Source organism: Homo sapiens, chromosome 11 (assembly GCF_000001405.40).
Source record: "Homo sapiens chromosome 11, GRCh38.p14 Primary Assembly".
NCBI classification, from domain to species: Eukaryota; Metazoa; Chordata; class Mammalia; order Primates; family Hominidae; genus Homo; species Homo sapiens.
In genome coordinates, this window is record NC_000011.10 from 15745890 (window position 1) to 15769706 (window position 23817).

General features: G+C 40.3%; 1 long non-coding RNA gene across 7 annotated transcripts in view; it reads right to left on the bottom strand.

Moving 5' to 3' along the window:
* LOC105376567 (uncharacterized) overlaps positions 1-22587 on the bottom strand; it is a 67229-nt gene extending 44642 nt beyond the window's left edge. For all 7 annotated transcript variants that reach the window (XR_001748141.2, XR_002957238.2, XR_931071.3 and 4 more), the window contains exon 1: positions 22329-22587. This is a non-coding gene — a long non-coding RNA (uncharacterized LOC105376567). The remainder of the gene's footprint in view (positions 1-22328) is intronic.
* Positions 22588-23817: the final 1230 nt, after the last annotated feature.

Consider the following 23817-nt stretch of genomic DNA (forward strand, 5'->3'; position numbering starts at 1 on the left):
ATTTTAGTGTGGGGGGTGGTCTGGAATGAATCTCCAAATATATGAAGGACAACTGCCCTTTATTGAACAAATTATTATTTTTTAATCAGGTTATGAAGGATGGGTTTAATTTCTACAAGCAGAGTATCCTGGCAGAGAGAGAAGTTTGGGCAGAGACATAGCAGTGAGGAGGAATAGGTCAGGTTCTCTGAATGAGGGAAGCCAGGCAGAGAACTGCAAAATGTGTATAAAGGTCTTCATTCCCAGAAAGTGAGCATAGGGATTTACATTGCTCTGTGCTCTTTGGCTGAAGTTTTTGGGGAGAGGGCACCTCTCTAACCCTTAGTGTCTCTTAGATCTTCTAAAAGACCTGCAGAAGAGAGGAGAGAGACCTTCAGATTTCTGCATCCCAGGAGGGTTTCTCTTGGACACATATGTCTATCAGGTACCCTTCATTTCATTATTCCTATAAAGAAAATCCTAGAGGAAGGAGCAAAAGGAGATCAGTTAAATCCATAAATTTGATTAATGATTTGTTAGAATTAAAATTAAATAACCACATCAGCCCACAGATCAGCTCTGCAATTGTCTTATTCAGAGTTGTAATGGGTGTGCATAATTCATTCTGTAATTGTTCCTTGAGAGCACTCTTCTGTGTAGTACTATGTGCTTAGCTAACCTCTATTCCTGCTTCTGGGGTGGTCTTGTTAATTTTCCATCCAACCATCCCCTTCTCTGACTTAATGACTACTCTGACCTCACAGACTTCATCCCTCACATAGGCAAATAGGGGTGATCCTTGAGATGGCCACAAATGGGCCCTAATATGGTTTGGATGTTTGCCCCAAAACATCCAAATCTCATGTTGAAATGTAGTCCCCATGGTTGGAGGTGGGGTCTAGTGGGAGGTGTTTGAGTCAGGGGGGCAGATCATTCATGAAAGGCTTGATGCCTGCCCCATGTTCATGAGGGAGTTCTCACTCTATTAGTTCATGTGATAGCTGGTTGTTTAAAGAGCCTGGCATCTCTCTGTTGCTCCCTCTCTTGCCAGGTAACATAACTGCTCTCCTGTCTTTCTGCTATGACTGTAAGCTTTCTAAAGCCCTGGCCAGAGGCAGATACTGGTGCCATGCTTTTGCACAGTCTGCAGAACCATGAGCCAAATAATCTCTTTTCTTTATAAATTAGTCAGCCTTAAGTATTCCTTTATAGCAACACAAATGGAATAATATACACCCTCTGCTGCCACTAGTCCACTGGTTAGGTGACACTTGCTGGCATCATATGGAACCACTTCTGGGAAAGGGTCAAGGAAGATACCCTGGAGGATGAGCCATTTGGTTCAGATGGGGTCTGTTGCCAGCTCAGGCTCCAGCTGAGAAAGGTGAGATGGAGACACTGAGCCATAGCCATGACAAGCTCTGATGGCTCCTCAACTTCCTACTCAAGAGAAGAGGATGAGTCTGTATTGTGTGCCCTTGGGGAGTAGGAGGCAGGTCCACTTCACTGGAGCAAGGAAAGAAAAGAGGGAGCCAGGCAAATCCAAAGATCTTGAGCACATCTGTTCCTCTCCATTACAAAGCAAAAGATAAAATTTCCCTGATATTCATTCATTCCTTTTTCAACAGCTATTTATTGATCTTCACTTATGTGCCAGGCATTGGACTTGGTACTGAAAGCTTAGTGACAACCAAAACAAAATTTCTACCTTCACAGATCTGACAGTATCGGGTGAACATTGAGAGTAGAGAGGTAACAAGGAAGAAAACAAATAAATACAAAATAGAATAAATGAAGTGGGGTGGTGGAGGGGCATACCTGATTAAACACGGGGAAAAGAAGTTAGCTCTAAGACAGTGACATTTTATTTGAGATGTGAAAGATAAGAAGCGGCCAGTAATACCCAAAGCATCTCAGACAGAGGAAAGAATGTATACAAATGTCCTAAAGTGGGAAAGAGAAGTTGGAAAACCCCTGAGTGGTTGAAGTTTCTGAGTGAGCAAGGGGCTGGCTCAGAGTGAGACAGAAGTGTGATCAGAACTAGTTCACAACAGACTTGTAGGCCAAAAAAGTTGGATTTTCTTCTAAGTCCAATGTTAACCTCTTGGAGGGTTCTGAAAGTATCATGCTGGTCTATTTTGAGGCAGTCAGGTCTGAGTCTTGGAGATGCTCAAGGAGATTTCCCCAAGAGGGAGAAGTCAATTGGAGAAGAGTCCTCATCATAGGGTACTTAAGGCCATGAGGTTAAAATCAGAATACTGGGCTGCCTTCTTGCCACTAGGGTTTGTGTTATCTCATGAGCATAGAAAATGCAGCTGAATTTCTAGTTATTCAAAGTTTTGTAACAAAATTTTCTGCCTGAGGAGAGGAAAGATCAGCTATAGAACTGGAGAATATAAACATTTCCTCCAGAAATAAGTATGCTTCTGTGCTGTGTCCAGCAATGTGGCATAATGCAGGAACCAGAGGCCAGATGATGGGAGTATTTCCATGCTGAAAGCTATCTTGAATTTAAAACAAACATGGAGAGCTGGGATCACTGAAGCCCAGTTATGGCTTCATGGAGATTTTTTTTTTTTTGCTCATAATTCTATTTTAGTGCATATTTGAAAATTTTCAGAATAAAAAGTTAAGTACAGGGACAAAGAAGAGAACTTTCAAGTTAAACATGTATTAAATATTATCTCTGATAAAAGCAAAGACTTATTTAGCACCCACCATGTGCCAAGTACTGTGCCTAGTACTTTACTCAGAGCAAGTCTGGGAAGGAGATATCATTATCTTCATTTTACAGATGAGAATACTGAAGCTAAAATAAATTAGTGGCAAAGTCTGCGTAATTCTACTTCTGCATAGGATGCCATAGGTATAGTCCATGAATACAGGCATATGTTGAAAAAAAGTATTCAAACGTTCATGGCAATGACAAAAACCAGATACAGAAGGGTAGTCTCCTGTGGGAAAAGTGGAATCAGACATGGATCAAAGATGAGTACACAGGGGCAGATACTGTACCCGAAGCAAAAGACTGGAAGCAAACATTACACAATGTAAAATCTGATAAAGCTGGTGGTGGTAATGCTGGTATTAGTTATAGGGTTTGCTATACATTTCAGAATGTTTGAAATATTCATAATAGTAAATAAAATTAAACAGATGAAATGTGCACAGGCCTTGGAGACAAGTTATGGTTTTGATCAGCAACACTAATTCTGCCCAGGAAATGTCAGTGGGTGAATCTCTACACATTGTAGCCACAACATGAACATTAAGAACATGAGGACTGAACTAACTTCATCCTGTCTCTAGGAAACTGGGCACTGGTTGATAAATTTACATCTAAACAAAAGGAAGTTTACAGCTCACAAATACAAGTCATGCTGAAGTTATGGTCATGAGAAGCAGTGTCGGGCAGGGCCCAAAGAACTACAATACAGGAAGGAGAAAAATATCCCCAGTTTGAAAGAGCCTGGTCTCTGGACCCACACAGGCCTGGAAGGTGAGCTCAAGAAGGAAGGTCTTCTGGGGATAAAAAATATGTATGTTAAATGCTCCCTGCCTAACAAGAACTCTGTTAGGTACTCTGCACACATTATTCCATTTAATCTTCAAAACAACCTAAGAGATAGCTATAACTGTACCCATTTTAGAGATGAGAAAAACTGAAGCTCATTAATAACAGATTAAATGACCTGCCCAAGATGCACAGCAGTAATTTGAGGCATCCAGATTCCCACCCAGATCTGTCTGATTTTAATGCCGCTGCTCCTTCCATTCCATCAAGATGCCACTCTGCAAATTCATTTCACCTGAGTCCCCTGCTGCCTGCTGAGATGGTCTCCCTCTCTCTCTACCTGCACCAGCTCAGCAGGAGCAAGGTCTGTTGCCTAGAAGACCAAGGAAAAAGAAGGTAGCGAGGTGGCAGAAGACAAGTCAAGAGGCAGTGGGAGTCGGGACTCCTTTTCAAAGGCAGCATGCTGGATGATTTAGATCGTGCTCTCTGGCTTTGACAGTCTGGCCAGGAGGAGTATTCCCAGTCATTACCAGGGAGACTAAGAGAATGGCAAGACAAATATCCCAATGGTCAGGTGCAATGGCCACAGGATTCTCCTGAGAAGGTAAGTGAGGATGAAGAGGGTGATCCCACTGCTGGAGCAACTTCTATAGTCAGCAAGTACCCCTGGTTTTCACGGCAATGTGTTGACTGGGCCCGTAGAAGAAAACAGAAAATAGGAAAATATGTCTAAAGGGGAGAAGGGCATAGGAAAGAGGTAACACAGTCCACGGTTGGGGATGGTACTGAGAACAGTTCCAGAGGTGACACCCACTAAGAAAGGGATTTCTAGATGCCTAGGGCAAGTGATCTCCCCAGCAGGGAGCACCTGTGGAGATGGAAGGGACCGCTTGCTTCATGCCTCAAACATGTTTAAGAATGGTGACATTCACAATTCTTTTCCTTGAACAGCAGACTTTTTAATACAAAGGGACTATTACTTTTACCTTTTTCTCAGAAGGAATTTCCCAGTGGAAAAACAAAGACCAATGGTGTGGCAAACACTTAAGCATGTAAATTCACTCCAAAGAAAGAGTTAAAGTGCTTTCTAATATAAATTGGTTTTCGGTATTTCAGTGCCAATATAATTAGATTGTAACAAGCAAAGCCCTGTAACATAACACAGCGAAAATTTGAAAATTTGATTCTGCCTGGCAAACAACCAAGTCCCTGCGTGTGCGCAAACCTGACATTAATAAGCTACAAGAGATTACATGATTTAGAAAAGAAGCACTTGGTGTTACCAAATCAAATAATAGATCTCTAGGCTATAATTAGGAGAATTGGGACTCAACAATGAAGTCATAATACTGTAATTTAGCTGTGAGTAACAGAGCCACGGAGTCACATTAGGAGGTGGGATAGTGTCTCAGTGGTGTGCAGCTCCCAGTGGGGCGGCAGCTCCAGCACCCCGCACGCAACCACCTGTTGGCGCCATGAAGTCACATGATGAACCTTGGCCCTCTGTGGCTGCGTGGGACCCTAGTGCTTCAGACACACAACTTTAAAGATGAAGCTCCCCAGGGACAGCTGAGGGGGCAGAGCTGCTGCCAGGGCCATGTGGGCAAATTGCTGCCCCAGAGTGCTTTGGGAGCTAACAAAAGACACATTAAACACGCAGAAACATAAACAAAGCAAAACAAACACTGTACAAAAAAAAATAGAAAGAGAATGAGAGAGCCCAGCAGCATCATTTATAGTCCCTGAGCTGCAGGGGATTGTCAGGTTGGGCAAGTGCATTTTTCCTCTGAAATAGTTTCTATGTAGAATAGGCAGAGCTTTACTCCACCAGCTCCTGGCAGAGTAACACAATCTGTGCTGTTAGGTCATAAAACCAAATAATTTCACGTGGAAAAGAAATCCTAGCAGGGCTTCTTAACTTGGAGTCCCCCAAGGGGGTCTGTGGATAGAACTGAATTTCAATATAATTGGTTTTCTTTGTAATCCTATGTATTTTATTTTATGCCTTTTAAAACATTATTCGGGTAAGCGGGTCTGTAGCAGATGCTGGAAGTGCCCCCTTGCATAGCTCTCCAACCTTTCTACATGCCCCCAGGTGGCTTCCAACTGTCAGTGTCTGATCTCTGGGTCTAAGGACTCTCTACCTCAACAACTATGCAAGGAACCACTGCCTGGATGCCCACACATGGCAGGCTGGAGGTACCAGGGTATTAACACCCTCAGGAGTAGGTGTATAATTACCCCAGCTCCCTCACCCTTCAGGTAGAAAAATTCTGAGAAGTGGTTTCGTGCCTTTTCCAGAGTATCCTGCAGGATTAAGCTCCAGTTTCCCAATTTATTGGCTTTCTTTCCTTTTATACTTCTCTATAGGTATTTTCTGTAACTCTCAAATACATTACTTGCACTTAGAATCTGCTTCTGGGAAAATCCAAACAAAGATAGGGTTCACGGGTCAACAGACTGCCAAAAGGATTCATGGTAATTAAAAAAAAAATTAAGAAGCCTTGCCAGGTATATCTCAGGTCCTCCCCTTACTCCAATCACCATTTCACAGATTAAGAAACTGGGGCAGAGAGAGCTAAACACCTTGTCTTACAAAAGGGAGTTATAAAGAATGACATTAGCGTCTTTTTGGCTATTGTTGCTCTTATAATCATGTCTTGCTTACTGATTCATTTTCCACATTTAACTTTTTCAACCTGATTTCTCTTCTTTCGTTATTCTTTCCCAAATTATATCCATCAGCAGCCATAGGTCCAGCACTGCAGGCCCTTTGACTGGATGCTCTTTTCTGTTCTGGCCTGAATGCGTTTGGCAGGTGACTTGCTATGCATGACCCTATTACTGCAGCAGCTGCTCCTAGGACTGAGCCACAGCAAAGTGTGGGAGAAGAGTCTCTCCTACCACATTCAACACAAATACCGTCTCCAAACATTTAGTTACCCTTGGAGCCCGATAGCACCTGAGTATAAGCTTTTGCTCTTCCAGGATTCCACAATAGGATTTAGCACTGGGATGAAAAGTAGTGTGCTTATTTCATTTACATTTATATCATTTCCCTATAAAGGACATTGTTCTAATTATGATTTTAAACAACTTCTGGAAATATTACACTATAATAAAGAGAACATATTAGTATGTCAGGTAGAAAAATATGGAGATACAATTATATTAGGAAGCCAGGAGTAAAGTTACACAGAAATAATGTATAGCCATTTTAATAATAATAATAATAACAGTAATAATTATGCTATTTACAATTATTTTATGTAATCTTCACCACTTCCTCAGGATATTGGTATTATTGTTTATAGATGAGGAAATTTCCTTGGGTGAGGAAAGTTCCAGAAAGTAGTTTAATATATTGACATTAATTCTCAATTTTAAAAGTTAGCTTCTTCCTTCTATACTTCCCCTTCTTATAAGAAATTCCCCCTTCCCCTTCTTCCCTCCAAATGGGAGAATTAATCTTGGCTTGCTGTGAGGACAACAATCTGACTAAATTCTTTCTTATCTCATTTTGAATGACTTGTCAGGTCTTTCTATGACTGTCTCCCAGTTAGTTAATATGAACTTCTAAGTTTTATACGTTTTGACATAGAAAATAAAACAGAAAAATCTTTTCAGGTATTGCGGATAAGTTGTCTTCAGGCAAGGTGGCTTTTCAAGAATTCCCCAAAGCTACATCCAAGATGGTCAGGATGTCCAGGCAGGAAGCAAGTATCAGACAAGGAAACAAAGAAAGAAAACCTAGGCCAGACTGAATTTATTTGTGGGCCCTAAAAGACAATTTCTTTGATACAACAGCCTTACCCTTTATTGCCTATTTCTCAGCACTGCAACATGATAATTAAGAAAAAGAAGAAGAAATCTATGTGATTTCCCTATTCTAAAACTTTTGTTAGATCATCATTATTGAGTATTAAGATTTAGTTGCCCTGAAGTTTTTAATATATATTTTAAGTAATCTAATTCCACCTTAATAATAATATACTGCTTTACAGTTATACATGAAGATACCATATAATAGATTATCCCCAATTCCTCCTTCCCTTTCCTTTATGCGTTGCTGTCATTCATTTCACTTATCCACATGCTTATCCAATATATTGCTACTACTATTACTTTAAACAGTCATCAATTCAAAGTAAGAAAAACTAAACATTTTTCTTACCTTCATTTACTCTTTCTCTGATATCCTTCCTTTCATTTTGTAGACCCAAGTTCTAACTTAAATAATTTTCTTTCTGTCTGAAAAACTTTTTATATTTCTTGTGAGGAAGGTGCACTGGTGATGAATTCTCAGTTTTTCTTTATCAGAGAATCTCTTTCTTTCTCCTTCACTTTTGAAAGATAATTTTACTGGGTATAGAATTCTAGGTTGCTATTTATTTCTTTTAACACTGTAATTACTAATTCTACTCTCTTTCTACTTGCATGGTTTCTGATAAGAAGTCTGCTACAATTCTTATCTTGTTCCTCCATGGGCAAGGTTCTCCCCAACATCATCCCCTACACAGGCTTCTTTCAAGAATTCCTATTTTTTTTCATTTTTTGTTTTTTAGTGGTTTGACTACGATATGCCTAGGTATAGACCTTTTGTATTCAATGAAACTCTTTGAGCTTTCTGAATCTGTGGTTTGGTCTATAATTCATTTCTGAAAATTATCAGCCACTATTACTTCCAATATTTCTTCTGCTCCATTCTCTCTTTCTTCTTCTGGTATTCCAACTATACATATGTTATACCTTTTCAAATTATCCCATAGTTCTTGGATGTTCTGTTGGGTTTTTACCCACTTATTTTTCTCTTTGCATTTCATTTTCAGAAGTTTCTATTGACCTATTTGAAAGTTCACTGATTATTTCCTTTCTCATGTCTACTGATAAGCTCATCAAGGCATTCTCTATTTCTGTTACAGTGTTGTTGATTTCTAGCACTTCCTTTTGATTCTTAGAATTTCCATCTCCCTGTTTACATTAGTCATCCATTCTTGTATGTCGTCTGCTTTTTCCATTAGGGCCTTTAACATATTAATCATAGTTATTTTAAATGCCATGTCTGATAATTACAACATCTGTGTCATATCTTAGTCTGGTTCTCTTGCCTGCTTTGTCTCTTCAGACTGTGTGTTTTTTCTTGACTTTTAGAATGCCTTGTAATTTTTGTTTGTTGAAAGACTGACATGTGCTGAGTTGTAGGAACTGAAGTAAATAGGGCTTTACTGTGAGGATTTATGTTAAGCTGGCTAGCACTGGGGCTATGTTAATATTTCTGTAGCTGGTGCTAGAGATTTCAAATTCCTCTAACGTCCTTGTTTTTGTTTTCCTTGTCTTTGGGTTTTACTAAGTATTCTTTCTTGGAGACAGTCAGTGACCTAATGGTTCTATTGGCTGTGACCCACTGTTATTGTGCTGGAGCCCTGTTGGTGCAGTGGTAAAGTTTGTTAGGATAGAAATATTCTATAACTTATTAAATCCTGGTATTTAGTAGGTGATCTTTTAGTCTGTGGGCTGTAACCTTCACAGGTGTTTCTCTATTGGTATGGCACTTTTCCTTCTTAGATGACACAGGAAGGCTAGACAGGTCTGGTGTGGGAGGAATGAATGATCTTCCTCTGGGTAGAATGAGGCTCTGATGAAGTCTTTCTCCTCCCTCCCCCCGGTTGCACTCTGTTATGAAGAATGAATGCTCTGGATATATCTCACGGTGGTTATTCTTCCCCTTCTTTTGCCAGAGCCATTAGGGAATTTTTCTTGGCTCTTCACCATGAGAGGCTGATGGCATTCCCAGAGGCAAAACCCATAAGAGTGTGGTGCTTCCTCAGACTGCAGCCCCCAGGAGTTTCCTGCTCCCGTATTATAATGCCCACACTCAGCCTCAAACAATTAATCAATATTACCATTTTACTGTTCCTACCAGTTCATGGTCCCAGCAGCTTCTGTTCCAGCTAAGCTGATCTCAGCTCTGTCTCCCTGGATCTACCTGTTTCCCCATATTATGGGATATTGGTTTACTTTGTCATCTTACTTCGCAGATGAGTCAAGAAAAGTGACTGACTTTTAGTTTTCTCAGTTTTTCCTTACGGAAAGGATGGAAGTGATGAATTCTAAACTTTTTTACATGTCAGAGCTGAAACTGGAAGTCCAGCATTGAGATTTCTTACTCTAAAGTAGAAGAAGGTATGGACATGGAAAGAGAATACTATCACTTTCTACCTGAGGGATTTGGAGAGAAAAAATAGAAACAACGGGAGAGGAAAAGAAGGTCTGATGCCAGGGTTTTTATTTTTCCTCCTGCTCATCTCAAGGCTAAACTTTAAAGGGGAGTGACTTAGAAACATTCAGATGGGGGGAGGGAGAACATGGGCAGAGGAAGAGTATGAAGCAGTATTCTGCCCTGCTTCAGTTATAGGACTCTGGGGAAAGAGTACCTGCTGGCAGCTGCCCCCCTCCTCTGATACTCTCTGGCAGTACAAGAGAGTTAGTAGGAACTGCTGGCTTACTGCTTTCCTGAGTTTCTCTTGGTTTCCGTGCAGTATGTACAAGACTCAGAAGTTCCTGAAAAGTGATTTAAAAGGCAGCAGATTTGGGATGCAATGGACTTGTCGTAGAGTCTGCCATAATAAAAGTAGAGATGACTCCCAGCAGAAGATAAAGAATGGATGCCAGGACTGGTGGTATCCTGGCAGAGGCAGAGCTGCAGCTGAGTCAACAGTGCCAAGGAGAGCTGAGATGAAGATCAGTTAGCCAGGGAGGGCTACCAGGTTCAGATTAAACTGAAAGAGTGAAGCAAGGCAAATGAAGGCACTTGCCATGGGCTCAGCTGCAATGGGACAGGTGCCATCAGGCAGAATAACACACTACTTCTTAGACCAGAGAAGCTAGAGGACAGTACAATAATGCCTCATGGATCTTGAGGGCCCTTCTTCCCGAATAGCACAAGGTCCCAAATAAGACCCTCTCCTCCACATATGTATACCCAGATGCCATCTTGATTTGTAGCCAAAGGTAGGAAAACAAACTCCTAAAGAGACTCTTTAGATTATTCTGTCAGATTAAAATTACAGATTGAACTAATTACTTTTTATGCTAACCATTAGGCAACACATGAAGAATGTCAGAGAAGTTTAGAAATTTAAATAAAATGCATGTTCTCTGTGTCCATCTGAGTTTATTTGGGGATTTGTGACTCCACTACATTCTCCTGTCCATTACCCTGACTTATCTTCTTTATAGCACATCATGATCTGAAGGTTTCTTATTTATTTGTTTGATTTGTATGTCTACCTCAGTAGAAAGAGAGCTTCAAGGAAACAGTAGCCTGGACTTTGTCTCATTTGCCACTGGGAAGCTGACCCTGAGAACAGGGTCTGGTTCACAGAAGGTGCTCAATCAATACTTTTTGAATGAATGGTGCTTTGTAAAGCCTCTTTGTCAGGTGAGACATATGGGTGTAAGGACTGTGAACCTCAAATAATTCAAATAATTATTTTAATTATTTAAACCTCATAAATTATTTTAATTAATGTTTATTAAGTGCCAAAAGCACTATACATATGTAGACTCTTTTAAATACTTACAACAACACCATGAAGTCAGTAATATTATTATCCAATTTCTAAATGAGAAAATGAAGGCACAGAAAGTTTAGGTAAACTGTCTAGGTCACAGAGCCCACGAGAGTTAGGGCCAGGGTTTCAAACAAAGCATTATGGCTCCAAAGCCTGTACTCCCATCCACCATGCCACACTGCCTCAAAATCTCATGTGTGGCCTCAGCTCACCGCCTCCTTCCCCTCCTCCCTCACACCAGATGAGCCACAGACGGTTAAGTAGGCAGCGAACACTTCTCAAGATGTTTTCATCGATTTTGCCAACACTCAGCTGCTTTATCGGCTCTGATGAAACATTTGTGACAACCACAGCAATTGCAATGATCATTTCCATGCTGAAAACATTTGCCTACAAAGCAGACATTTTCTCTTCAAAGTAAACACTGGTGCTGCTGAGAGGCGGCTGCCCATACCCACGCCGCGCATACTGCTTCCTCTAAATGCCTCGAAGGCAAAATCCCCCCAAGCGATGATGACAACAGAGAACAGGATGTGGGCTTCTCCTCCAGGAGACCTCGTCTGACATTCTCAGGCCAGTCATGAAGTGTCTCCCGTCGTCCCCACCTGTGAACCCGAAACCCAGCCCTTACTCCACACATGCTAACAACACTAGGCACAGAGCAGTCACCCTTCTTGATTATGTGTCTGGTCTCTGTCTTGACTGCATCATGAGGGTATGGATGATGCTTTATTGATGTTAAGCCCAGCACTCAGTGCATCTCCTTCATTAATTAGTTGTAAACAGAAGAAGATGTTGAAACCCCCTGAAGCTGGTCCTATTGAGTTCAGAGGAAAATAAGATAGAAGCCAATAGTGTTGGATAGAGAGAGGAAGAACCACCTTAGAGTAGAATTTCCATGAATATGTTTCCATAAGTCCTACTCCAAAAGATATTAATAGGGCATTTGGTGTGAGGGTGGGGTGGGGAGGCTCTCATTGCCAAATAAGATGAATACATGCAGAATTAAGTTGAATTAAAGCAAAAAAAAGTCTCTGTCTGCAAGACTTCTCAGAGCCTTTGGCATGTCAGAATGCCTGGTGAATCCCTAAAATGGGCATGAGTGTATAGCATTTTGCAAATGCATTTGACCATAGGCCTGTTTCTTTTCCGGGTGTTTCAGCATCCTAGTAGACTATAAAAACTAACTTGAAGAAATGCTGTCTGCACAGGAGAGGACAGAACCTCCTCAGTTAATGTTTTACATGGGCATGGAAGGACAGATCACAGAAAGCTGATCATTAGCATGGCTGAAGTCTTCTTGAGAATAGAGAGATCCAGACGGCATCTCTGTAGGAACAGCCTCTCAGGCACATGGAAGAATGTACTGCAGACATAACAAAATGGACCACTACATGCTAAGTCCCATGCTGGGTCTTCTCAGAAAACTAATTCAGCCTCCGACAGCCCTGGGAGGTCAGTGTTAATATCCATTAATGAGGAACTCCAGGACTGTGGAAGCTGGCCAGTGGACTTTTGTGGACAAGATGGGAGTCTTCCAAATACAAATCCAATGGCTTCTCTACATTACCTAGCTGCTTAAATAAAGACGAAAACCCAAAATGTGTGAGCAGTTCACTTCTCTTTCAAGGCTCTGGGGTCTGAAAGACCATCTTCTCCTTGAAGAACCTGACCAGAAACGAGCTTCACCTGGGGTAAGATGGAGACCCCCTCCCCCCGCCCCCTCCCCAAGTCAGAGAGAAGCTCTTCTCTTACCTCATCTACACACCAAATCACGAACTTTGCCAGCATTCTTAAGTGATTGTGACTGTTTCGTTTTCGAAATATCAGTCGGCCTGTTCGAGTAATTTTATACTTAAATTATTTAAATGCAATCTATCCATTGAAGCAATTTCCCCTGCACAGGAGAAGTGTTTTCTTTTTTAGGGAACTGAAGCATGATAAATAAATGAATAAAGACTTGTAGCTGTGTCTCTCTCTCTCTCCTGAAGAAAGCACTTCAGCGGCGAGTCCCTCTTGTCAGAAATCTTGGAACTCATAATATTCCCTGTGGTTCTGCCGCTCAGCATTAAAAATAACCAAAGACTCGAGTCACAGTTGTGTTTTTTTTCTAGACACGAAGCACATTTTACGCCACAATGCCCGGGATGACACAGGGACAGTGCAGAGCTTGCTAATATTCTCTACTGCCTCTCTCCCCAGGCCTGCAAGCAGTTAGAATGGCTTAGTGGTGATCACAAATGCTGTCCCATTTGGAAAGCACTTCTTTAAGGCAGCACCGATTAAAATTCATGAAAGGCGGCTTGCTTGCATAAATAAATTAAAAGATGCAAAACTAAAGTTTAAACACCCATACACAACTAGCATTTTGCAAACACCATATGCACTGCGGTTCTCAATTCTGGGCTGTCATGCAAGAAGTAGGGAAAGAGGCCTCATTGGGTTTGAATGCATAAAACTGGGAGCACCTTGATCACCTTTGGCACAAAGGAGTCTCAGCAGCAAAGTGTGAACTAACTGATTTACACCTTGTCTAAATGCATATGAATTTTAGGGGAGCATGTCAATATCTGGAGAATATTGTTAAAAAAACTAAAAACAGAATGAGCACAGTTTTTGCAATCATAACAATGCCAGGTCCTAGTTCTTAAAATTACTATGCTATTTTGGGTAAATCATGGACAGTCTCTGATGCCCGGTTTTCTCATCTGTAAAATAAGCATAAGACAACTAACCTCTAACCTTAGTTTGTGGTATGGAGAGTAAGTGATATGCCATACTTAGGTCAGCCGGCAGAGAGGAGGTGCTCACAAACGTTTAATTCTCCTCTTCCTGTCTTTATCTTACATTTCTACAGTGGTGGCATTGTGAAAAAGGAATGAGCTCTGGGGTTACAAGCTTTAGAGCTGAGCCCCAGCTCTGCCATTCACTGGCTGTGTGACCTCAGAGAACTGATTTCATCTCTCTGAGCCTCAGTTTCTTCCTTCATAAAGTGAAGATGTTAACATCACCTCTCTCCCAAGTGTACGTAACATCTATGAGGTATCTGGACCTTTCAACACTATAAGGTAGACATGACCAGCAACCTTATCACCATTTCCTTAGTGAAGAAATCTTAGAGAAGATTTTATTTTCCCTCCAGAACTCTAAGGTAGAGAGTGTGTAGTGCATACATTGTCTCTCTAAGATAGAGAGCTCTGGAGGAAAAATAAAATCTTCTCCAAGAATACATAACTGTAATGACATACCTCACACAGGTTTGGAGTTCAAATTTACACTATCCATGTTGTTTGGTGACCCTGCCCACCCCACCACCACCCTGTCTGACCTCGCAACATAGGAAATTAACAAAAAATAAATAGGTCTCACCATTGCCTTAGCATCATCAGGAAAACGATGCTAAGAGATGAGACAGAGTGAGCCCAAAGTGACTTAGCATGTACAACAAAGACAGGACCAAAAAGCAGATGAGCCTAGCTCCCCCAATTCCACTGCATGTGAGGTATTGGCCTCCTCCCACTCCAGTGCCTTTTTGCTGACTCTGAGGCAGCTCAGGACCTGCCTGGGAGAAACCTGGTCCAGGTTTCCTTCAGCTGTGGGCATTTAGAGGCCCGCCCCATCCTGATGGAATGAATATGATTTCATCCTTAAGCTCCAAAGCTTTGCTGCCATATTCTGATTATTCAGTGCAGTTGGCATCAATGGGATACATTTCAATCTATCTAAGGAACTAGTATGCTCTTTTCTGAACACCCTAAGCTGCTCTTCTCAGAGGGGGAGAGGCTGGAGCTGGAGTTCCACAAAACCTTCACATGGGAGAGGTGAGTTCATGGGAGAACAGCTTAAGTAGGCTTGAAATATGTTCCCCTTCATGAGTTGGTTGGGTGGGGGAATCACATGAGAAGCCTGGTAACATCCATCTGGCATTCTCTATCTGGAGCTCTCTAGCAACATATTAAACCTCGGGGATCACTAGGAATCAGGGCCAGACCCAAGGGGGAAAATTCTAAAACACATTGTATCTGTCAGTAGTCTTGGAGGGAGGCAAAAGAAATAAATTCTGGCTAATAGAAGCAAATTAAAAGTGTGAGAGGAATTTATAAAGAGGATATCGGGGAAAATAGTCTTCAATAGGTAGAATGGTAATCTGAAATTCTCCTTCAAAAAACACCTAGAAATGCTAGAAAGATATGTTAAACAAACTGTATTTTAGCTTTTTTTTTCTTTCCTTTCTTTTTTTTTTTTTTTTTTTTTTTTGTAGAGATGGGTTCTCGCTATGTTGCCCAGGCTGGTCTTGAACTCTTGCTCTCAAGCAATCCTCCTGCCTCAGCCTCTGGAATAGCTCGGGTTGCAGGCATGAGCCACCATGCCGGGCTATATTTTAACTTTTAAGAGCTTGTAAGAAAGTAAAAGAAATCCCTGGGGCAATTAAAATAAAGAGGAAACTAGAACCTTGTGAGCTGACCCTGAACCGCCCTGGTACGTAGGTAGGGAGGTGTGAAAGAGCATGGGAGGTGCCAATATCATTGACCTAAAAGCTTGGCTTTTTATGCCTACCTTGGAACAAAAGACCAAATCTTAACACCTGAACAAAGACATCTGCATAAAGCCAGAACACTCAAGGGATTACACCATGTATAAAAGAAAAGACTTGAAAATCCACTCAAGCTAGTCTCTGTGTACAAGGATGCCTGTCTGTACAGATTGAGCTCTGGAGGGAAAATAAAATCTTCTCTAAGAATACATAACTGTAATGACATACCTCATACAAGTTTGAAGTTCAAATTTACACTATACATGTACATTTTTGGTGACCCTCCCCACCCCCACCCCTGCCCTGCAACACAAGAAATTAACAACAACAAAAATAGGTCTCAAACAAGAAATACTTTGGGGCACCTGGCAGATGCAAGGTTTATGTCATTATTTTCCTTATTTATGTAATTCACAGTGAAACACTTAACTAATACAATGAGGAAAAAATCTGAGTCAAGACAGTAGGAAAAATAACAGGGCCATGTTTTCAAGAAAATTAGATAATATAAATATTGGAAAATTGTAAAATAATAGTCTAACTCATTAAAAGCAAAAAGAAACAGAACATGAGAAGTGAGCAAGACATTAAGGAAAAGAGTCAGGCAGATTTTTTTAAAGATCCAAAAATCAGTAATAGAAGTAAAAATTGTTGCCATTGAAATTTAAAAGAAAAAAAAACCCTCAATGAATGGGTTGAAAACTCACTATAAAGAGGGAAAAGAGAATTAGTGAAATGGGAGATACATATTATAATGAAAATGTGGAAGTCCAAAGAAAATGTCTCAGACCAGTAAGAAAAGAAATGAGTTAACTGACTGACAGAATACTTCTCAACAGAAATAGGAGAAAACAGAATATAGTGGAGTAATAGTTTCTTTTCTTTTTTTAGAGACATGGTCTTGCTCTGTCACCCAGGCTGGATTGCAGTGGCACCATCATAGCTCTCTGCAAATGTGAACTCTTGGCCTTAGGTGATCCTCCCATCTCAGCCTCCCAAAGTACTAGGATTACAGGCATGAGCCGCCATGCCCAGCCAGAATAATATTTTCAAAGTACTGAGATAAAACCACTGTCAACCTCAAATTCTACATCGATCTAAATATTTTTCTTCAATCATAAGATTAAAGATGAAGACATTTCTGGACACATGAAGACTAAAGACAAATACCACCAATAGATCTTCATTTAAAAAAATTACTGGTCAGGCGCTGTGGCTCACACCTATGATCCCAGCACTTTGGGAGGCCAAGGCGGGCAGGTCACCTGAGGTCAGGAGTTCGAAACAAGCCTGGCCAACATGGCGAAACCCTGTCTCTACTAGAAATAAAAAAATTAGCCAGGCATAGTGGTGGGCACCTGTAATCCCAGCTATATGGGAGGCTGAGGCAGGAGAATCACTTGAACCCAGGAGGCAGAGGTTGCAGTGAGCCAAGATCATACCACTGCACCCCAGCCTGGGTGACAGAGCAAGACTCCACCTCAAAAAAAAAAAAGAAAAATATTACAAAACACTATATTTCACAGAGCACATTGAAAGAGAAGAAAAAGTTGAGCTGCAAGAGTGAAAGGCAAGCAAAGAAACTGGCAAATAAGTGGGTAAATCTAAATAAATGTTAACTTAGTAAGTAATTATAATAATAACTAATTTCAGGATATAAAAACAAGGTGAAATGAAAATAGAGGGCAATAATGTAAAGTGGGAGAAGTGAGACTGGTCTTAAAGCAGTCAAGGTCCTTTTGTTGTATATTTTATATAAAAATATATATTTTATATATGTAGTATATATAACATATATATGATATATACATATTCTACATATATATATATATAAGTAATCCCCCAAAAATAAACATACAAATCCATAAACTAAAAGGTAGAGAATCTCAAATTGGATTTAACATAAAGCATATTGGGAAATTAAATTACTTCCGATAAATTTAGATTTGTAAGTTCAAGTTTTGATGAGACCCTTCTACTCTAAACACTTGGGCAATGTTAGGAATTTTAGGGGACAAACACATCATTCTCTTTACCCTCCTCACCTAAGTTCAGTAGAAATTGAGATACAGACACAGCAGTTAGACATACGGAGATCAAAGTATCATTTTATTACTGATCACAACTCTGTTTTTTCCTTAGGTGTGCAACGACATACTACATGCTGAACCCTGGAAGGTGGACTGAGTTGCTCACCCAGTGACAGATAGTGCTAGGCAACCTTAGGCCTTCCCCTTCGGGGACAGAGTCTTCTCCTGTAAACGTTATGACATGAGGAAAGAAAGAAGAATCCATGCTTTCTACAAGATGTAGATAAGAAGAGAGAGAAGGAGGGAGGAAGGAACTGGGCTGACCACACTCATCCCATGCAATAGAAGCACTGAAGTATTGCCATGGGACAGAAGACTTGATTTTTGACTGGGAACATGAGGGTCAGTAAAAGCAACTGTGAAAACTATCAGATAGGGAGAGGCAAGCACCAAGAAATAGAAAATAATATATAGCTAAAAATAAAACCTGCAACTTGAGATTATCCTGTTGACCAAAAGTATAAAGCACATAAAGAAAGCCAAAGCTAATGAAGATAGCCAACAAAAAGAAAAATCAGGGCATGTGTTCTGTCCACATAAAATTGATGTTCTTAAAGCAGTTTTCCAAAGATATTAAAGCAAATGCATTTTAAAATTCTCAAAGAGAACAACAAAGAAATAAATTCTATTAAATAAAGAGCAAAAAGTGATGAAATAAAAAAGTGGGAAATGAATAGATATATGTAAAAAGGAACCGATTCACAATTCACATTCTAAGAGATGAACAGTGGAGTCATTGAAATAAATTATTCAATGAATAAATGCTGAATCAGACACAGTTGAAATGAGAATTAGCAAACTAGAAGATAACAACAAGGAATTCAGCCAGACCTCAGCAGAAAGAGAAAAAGGGATGATTTTTAAAAAATTAATGCAAAGAACAGTTTAGGGAAGTAGAGAATGGACTGAGAGTCTCCAACATACATCTGAGTTCCTGATAAAAATCATAGAGGAAGTGAAAGGGAAGTAACGTGATAAAACAATAGAATTCTCCAGGACTGAAAAAAGATATGAGGATTCTAGTTTAAAAGTAGAGAACTGGGAGCATTCACTATACTTTTATCCCTTCCTAAATTTCACTAAAATGACAGTGAAGGGATTTTAGAAGCCATACATTAACAAAGCAAAAAAGAACAAGAGAGAAGGCAATAGCAACAAAATTTTGGAAGCTAGAAATAAAATAAGACAAAAATCTGTCTTAGTGAATTTTGGGATGCTGAATCCTAAACCAGCAGTGGGAAAAGTCAAGAGGCAACCCAGTTTATATCACAAAACTAGCTAAAGGCTCAGGATTTTACAGCAGCTGAGAACTTCTGGAAACTGGGGTAAAGATTGGGCTAAAGACAGGTGAATTGGGTAAAAAATCTGTGTGAAAATCAATCAGATCCCACACCACTCCTCACAGTAGGGCAACTGCCCCTGTTCACCCAGCCAAGACTGGAGTCCTTTTCTCGCAAGCAGTGCTTCTCCTGTTGTGGACCCAGGAGCAGCAGCTTCAGCATTACCTGGGAACCTGTTAGACATGCAAATTATTGCACCACAACTCTGACTTAACTGAGCAGAAATTTAAGGGGTGGGACCCAGCAATCTGTGATTTAACAAGCTCTCCAGTGAAATGTGAGAGCCACTGTTCTAAAACAAAGGGTGTTTGTTTGTTTGTTTGAAACAGAGTCTTGCTCTGCCACCTAGTCTGGAGTGCAGTGTTATGATCTTGGCTCACTGCAACCTCCAACTCCTGGATTCAAGCAATTCTAGCACCTCAGCCTCTGAGTAAGTGGGATTACAGGCACATGCCACCACATCCAGCTAATTTTTGTATTTTTAGTAGAGGTGAGGTTTCACCAAGTTGGCCAGGCTGGTCTTAAACTACTGACCTCAAGTGATCCACCTGCCGCAGTCTCCCAAAGAGCTGGGATTACAGGTCAGGGATTTTAAATGGCAGAGCAGTAAGCATAATGGAGATGGATATATTATATTGAAAATAGGAACATTTGGTAAAAGTGTCCTTACTGAATGTTGAGGCTCAGCATCATTTTCTTCTTGACTCTAGAATGCTGGCAGATAGAATACAATATCATCTCCAGGAAAGAGACTGAAAGGGACTTCTCTGGGGAGTCTGACAAAACGCAACCAAACAAAAAGTGAAAGAACTTCAGGTACTGACAAGGAAGGCTCTCTGAGTAAAAGCCCAGCCACCCTACCTTTAAGCTCACAGTTGACAAATCTTATAACGTGTCTAAAGCCTCTATTCAGGTTTGAAGTCCTACATTCCGAAATATGGTCAGACAACCAAGGGCTGTCAGACACCCAGATATCTAAGGAAAGCTTCTGACATCATAGATTTCATTTTAATGGTACACCATGGAGAACTAGTGAGAAGAAAACTATAAAAACACCTGTCAGTCATATCCTTAGAAAATTAATACTGCAATCATTCCTAAAAAAACTGAAAACTGAGAATATTCAGAGAACAAAAGGGAGATCAGGGAAATTAAAAATATCACAAAAATGAGGAACACAATAGGAAGTTTTAAATTAGAAAATTTCCAGGAAAAAAAAAGATGAAGAGAAGACTACCCAGAAAGTAAAATATAAATAAATTTAAAACATAAGTCAGGAGATCTAATAACCAAATAATAGGATTTCTAGGCAATTTGAGGAAATGAAACAAATACAATTATCAAAAATATAATTCAAGGAAAGTCCCCAGGACAAAAGAACCTGAGTTTCCTGATAAAATAGTTTATCAGGGCAATGGATTAAAAAGAAAATTTTAAGGACTTATGGCAAGACATAGCATTATAAAATTTCCAAATAATAGGAACCAAGAGAAAGTTCCACAAGTTTCCAGAGAAAAAACACACCACAAAGGCTCAGGAATCAGATTGGCTTCAGGCTAATATCAAGCTGGAGGTTGGAAAACAATGGAGCAATACCTTAAAAATTCATTCTATTCTCAAACTATTAATAAGGTGTAAAAGTAAAATAAAAATATTTTTAGATCACAAAAGATTACTTTCCATTCAACTTTCCCAGAAAGCCACTAGAGGATGCACTCCAAGAAAAAGAGGGAATAATGGGATAGAAGATGGTGAAGGTAGATCCCAGGAAGAATGCTGTGCACAGGCAGAGAGAGATCATAAGAAGTCAGGAGCCTCCTGGAGAGAAATTGCTAGAAAACCTCATGTAAATAAGTCTTGAGAGATATACATATTGGACAAAGGGTTTGCAATTTAGTTACTGATTTCTACATGTAATTCTAAGCAAGTAGGGGGAAAATGATAAATATTAACCATAGAAAAAAACTAAACGTTGTGAAGGAAACGAAAAATCAGTTTGCTACATGAATCATTTGTAAAGGTCATTGCCTGAAGATAATAATATAAACACTGAATATTTATCTCTCAAAATGATAACATTATCATATTATAATTAGAAGGATGTGGGGTTTGGGAAGAAGATGAGTGGGGTCAGGAGAGCAAGGAGCTAAATTCTCATCTTCCCTCATGGGAAGTCCACAGGTAATGCCTAAACCGAACACTGAGTAAGCAGCAATTTGAGTGTATTACTATTAATAAGGGCATGGAAGTAAATAACAAATCTATTCGCTTTTTGGGGTGAAGTGGTTGTCTCTGAGAAAGAAAACATGAGGAGATGGGGGACAGAGAGCTTCTATTTGGTATAATTGACTCTGCAAAGCTGTTTGATTCTTCAAATTTTATTCCATAACTAATATGGCATAATTTTTGTAATTTGACTGCCATATCTCAAGCCCTGTCAGACTAGGAATTATATCTTGGCAGCCACTATCACTGGAAAAAGAATGACCTTGGGCCAGAGATTTCTAAAGCTATTTGATTCTTCAAATTTTATCCATAATTAACTTTAAAAAATAAAAAATTCAAGGGGAAAAACATAGAATTAGATAATAGGCCTGTGAGTTGGGTTTCAGCTTTACTTAAAGTATGGTCATCTCTTGGGGGCAATGTATCTAAAGAAGTGTGTTAATTTTTCCCTCTTAAATTAATTCATTTTAGAAAATATATTTTTAGAAAGAAAAGAAAGATCATTTTACAGATGAAGTAAAATGTTCCAAGGAGATCTCGGTCTTTTTACTGCTCTCGGAAGACAACACAGAGGAAATGAATAGGAACCATTTTTCTCAGTTGCTCAGAGACCTTGTTGAAGTAACATGAGAACTACTGAGGGCATATGAGACATGCCTGACAATGTCAAAACAGCAAGCAGCCTCATCTTCCATTTTATATTTTGAAATAGGAAAGAAAACAGATGAAATAGCTTTTTCATTATTTTCCACAGCCCAAAAGGAAATTCACTTCAATTTTAATAACATTTCTATTTCTTATTTATCATCATGCAAACCTTATAAAAATTGCAAAGTCTAAATTTGAGGGATAGGGTGGAGGGATGAAAAAGAAAATGTTTCTGTCATCTAGTCTTTTTTTATTGAACTAAAAATAAAACCTATGTTGCTTTTGAAGGAGTAAACAGATGGATAATAGTTAGTTCAACAAATGGCCGTGAAGTGTCAGGAAACCGGCTCAAGGCTATGTAGCCAAGAACACCCAAGGTCACACCACAGAACTGGTCAAGTGCAGATGCAAACCCTGCCTTACCTAGCCTTGACGCCATAGATTCCACTCATGACATAGCCAGCGTGAACAACGTTCAGCACCTCTCCCACCACAGCCAAGAATGATCCACTGCTCTTCAACCACCAGGTCTCGAAGAAACTCTTCCTCCTGGTCCCCATTCTTTGCATCAGTAGCTCCTGATTTGTATCTTAGGTTGTGTTTTCATTGGTTATACCTGTGACCTACAACCATTCTACAGTTATAGGAGCTGTAAAATGCTAGGAAATAGAGCCTCTGGCATTTTCAACTACTCACCAAGACTCATAAAGGGGAAGGGCATTTAACATCGAGCCACGGAAAGCGACAGAACAATGACTATCATAACTTGAACCCTATCAGATGCTGGTGAAGTACATGAACTCTGCAGTCAAACTGACTAGGTTCAAATCCCAGCCCTTTTCCTAGAGCTACTGAACCAAGTACACTCCCAGCCTAGGGCCTTTGTCCTGCTCTTTCCTCTTTCTGAGATTCCTTCCCCTCCGATGTGGGATTATTCACCTGATTCATTTTGGTGAGCCATATTGTTTGAAGCCATATCCTCCTTGCTTTCTTTATGTTCGTTCCATGATTTATATGTATCCCTAAAACTTATTACCATGGGATAAACTATATCACATACCTGTTGATCTTCTTCCTTACTGTTTGTGCCCTACTCTACCTACCCCACTTGGCTGTAGGCCCCATGAGGACAAGAGTTTTGTTTGTTTTGTGCACTGCTGTATTCTCCAAAACCGAGAACAGTACCTGGTGCATAGTGGACACTCTATCAATATTTTTGATTGAATAAATGGAATCAGCCAGCCAAGTCATTTCTTTGAACCTTAGCTTATCATCTGTAAAATGAGTTTCATAATAGAAACTGCATCATAAGGTTGTTTGAAAGATTAAATAAGATTAGCGTCTGCAGTGAGATGGTGATAGTCTCCTTACCCATCCACCTTGCATTTCCTATTTCCATCTCAACCTACCCGCACTGGGGCAGTTAAACTAAAGCCCCTACTACTTTAGGAAAGCTGTCATGGTAGGACCAGACGACAAAGGGATCACATTCTTGGTTTTGAAGTTCAATGCTCTCAGTCCAGAAGTAAGACAGAAACTATTTAGAAGAATATGTGATCAAGCAGAACCAGTTTTTCCAGTCTCACTACCCATACCCATAAAACTTTCCAAGGTAGGGAGGAGGGGAGAGAGTGCCAGAGAAAAAGCAAAGGACTGTGGCCCTTCCCCTGGGCCCCACCTCCCCTCCACAGGTGTCAGCTGCAGAGATGGAAAAGCGGTCAGGAGAGCTGTGGATACAGAGGAAAGGGTCCATTACTGTGCTCCCATCTGGACTTCTGTGAGATGGCAACTCATGGGGGCCCAGGAACAGATAGCAGAGATAGTTCCATGGGGCTCCAGAGGCAGGGGTCCTGGACACCCATAAGTCTCCAGTATTCCCAGCACAGCACTGGAAAATAGCCAGCTCCCCCTG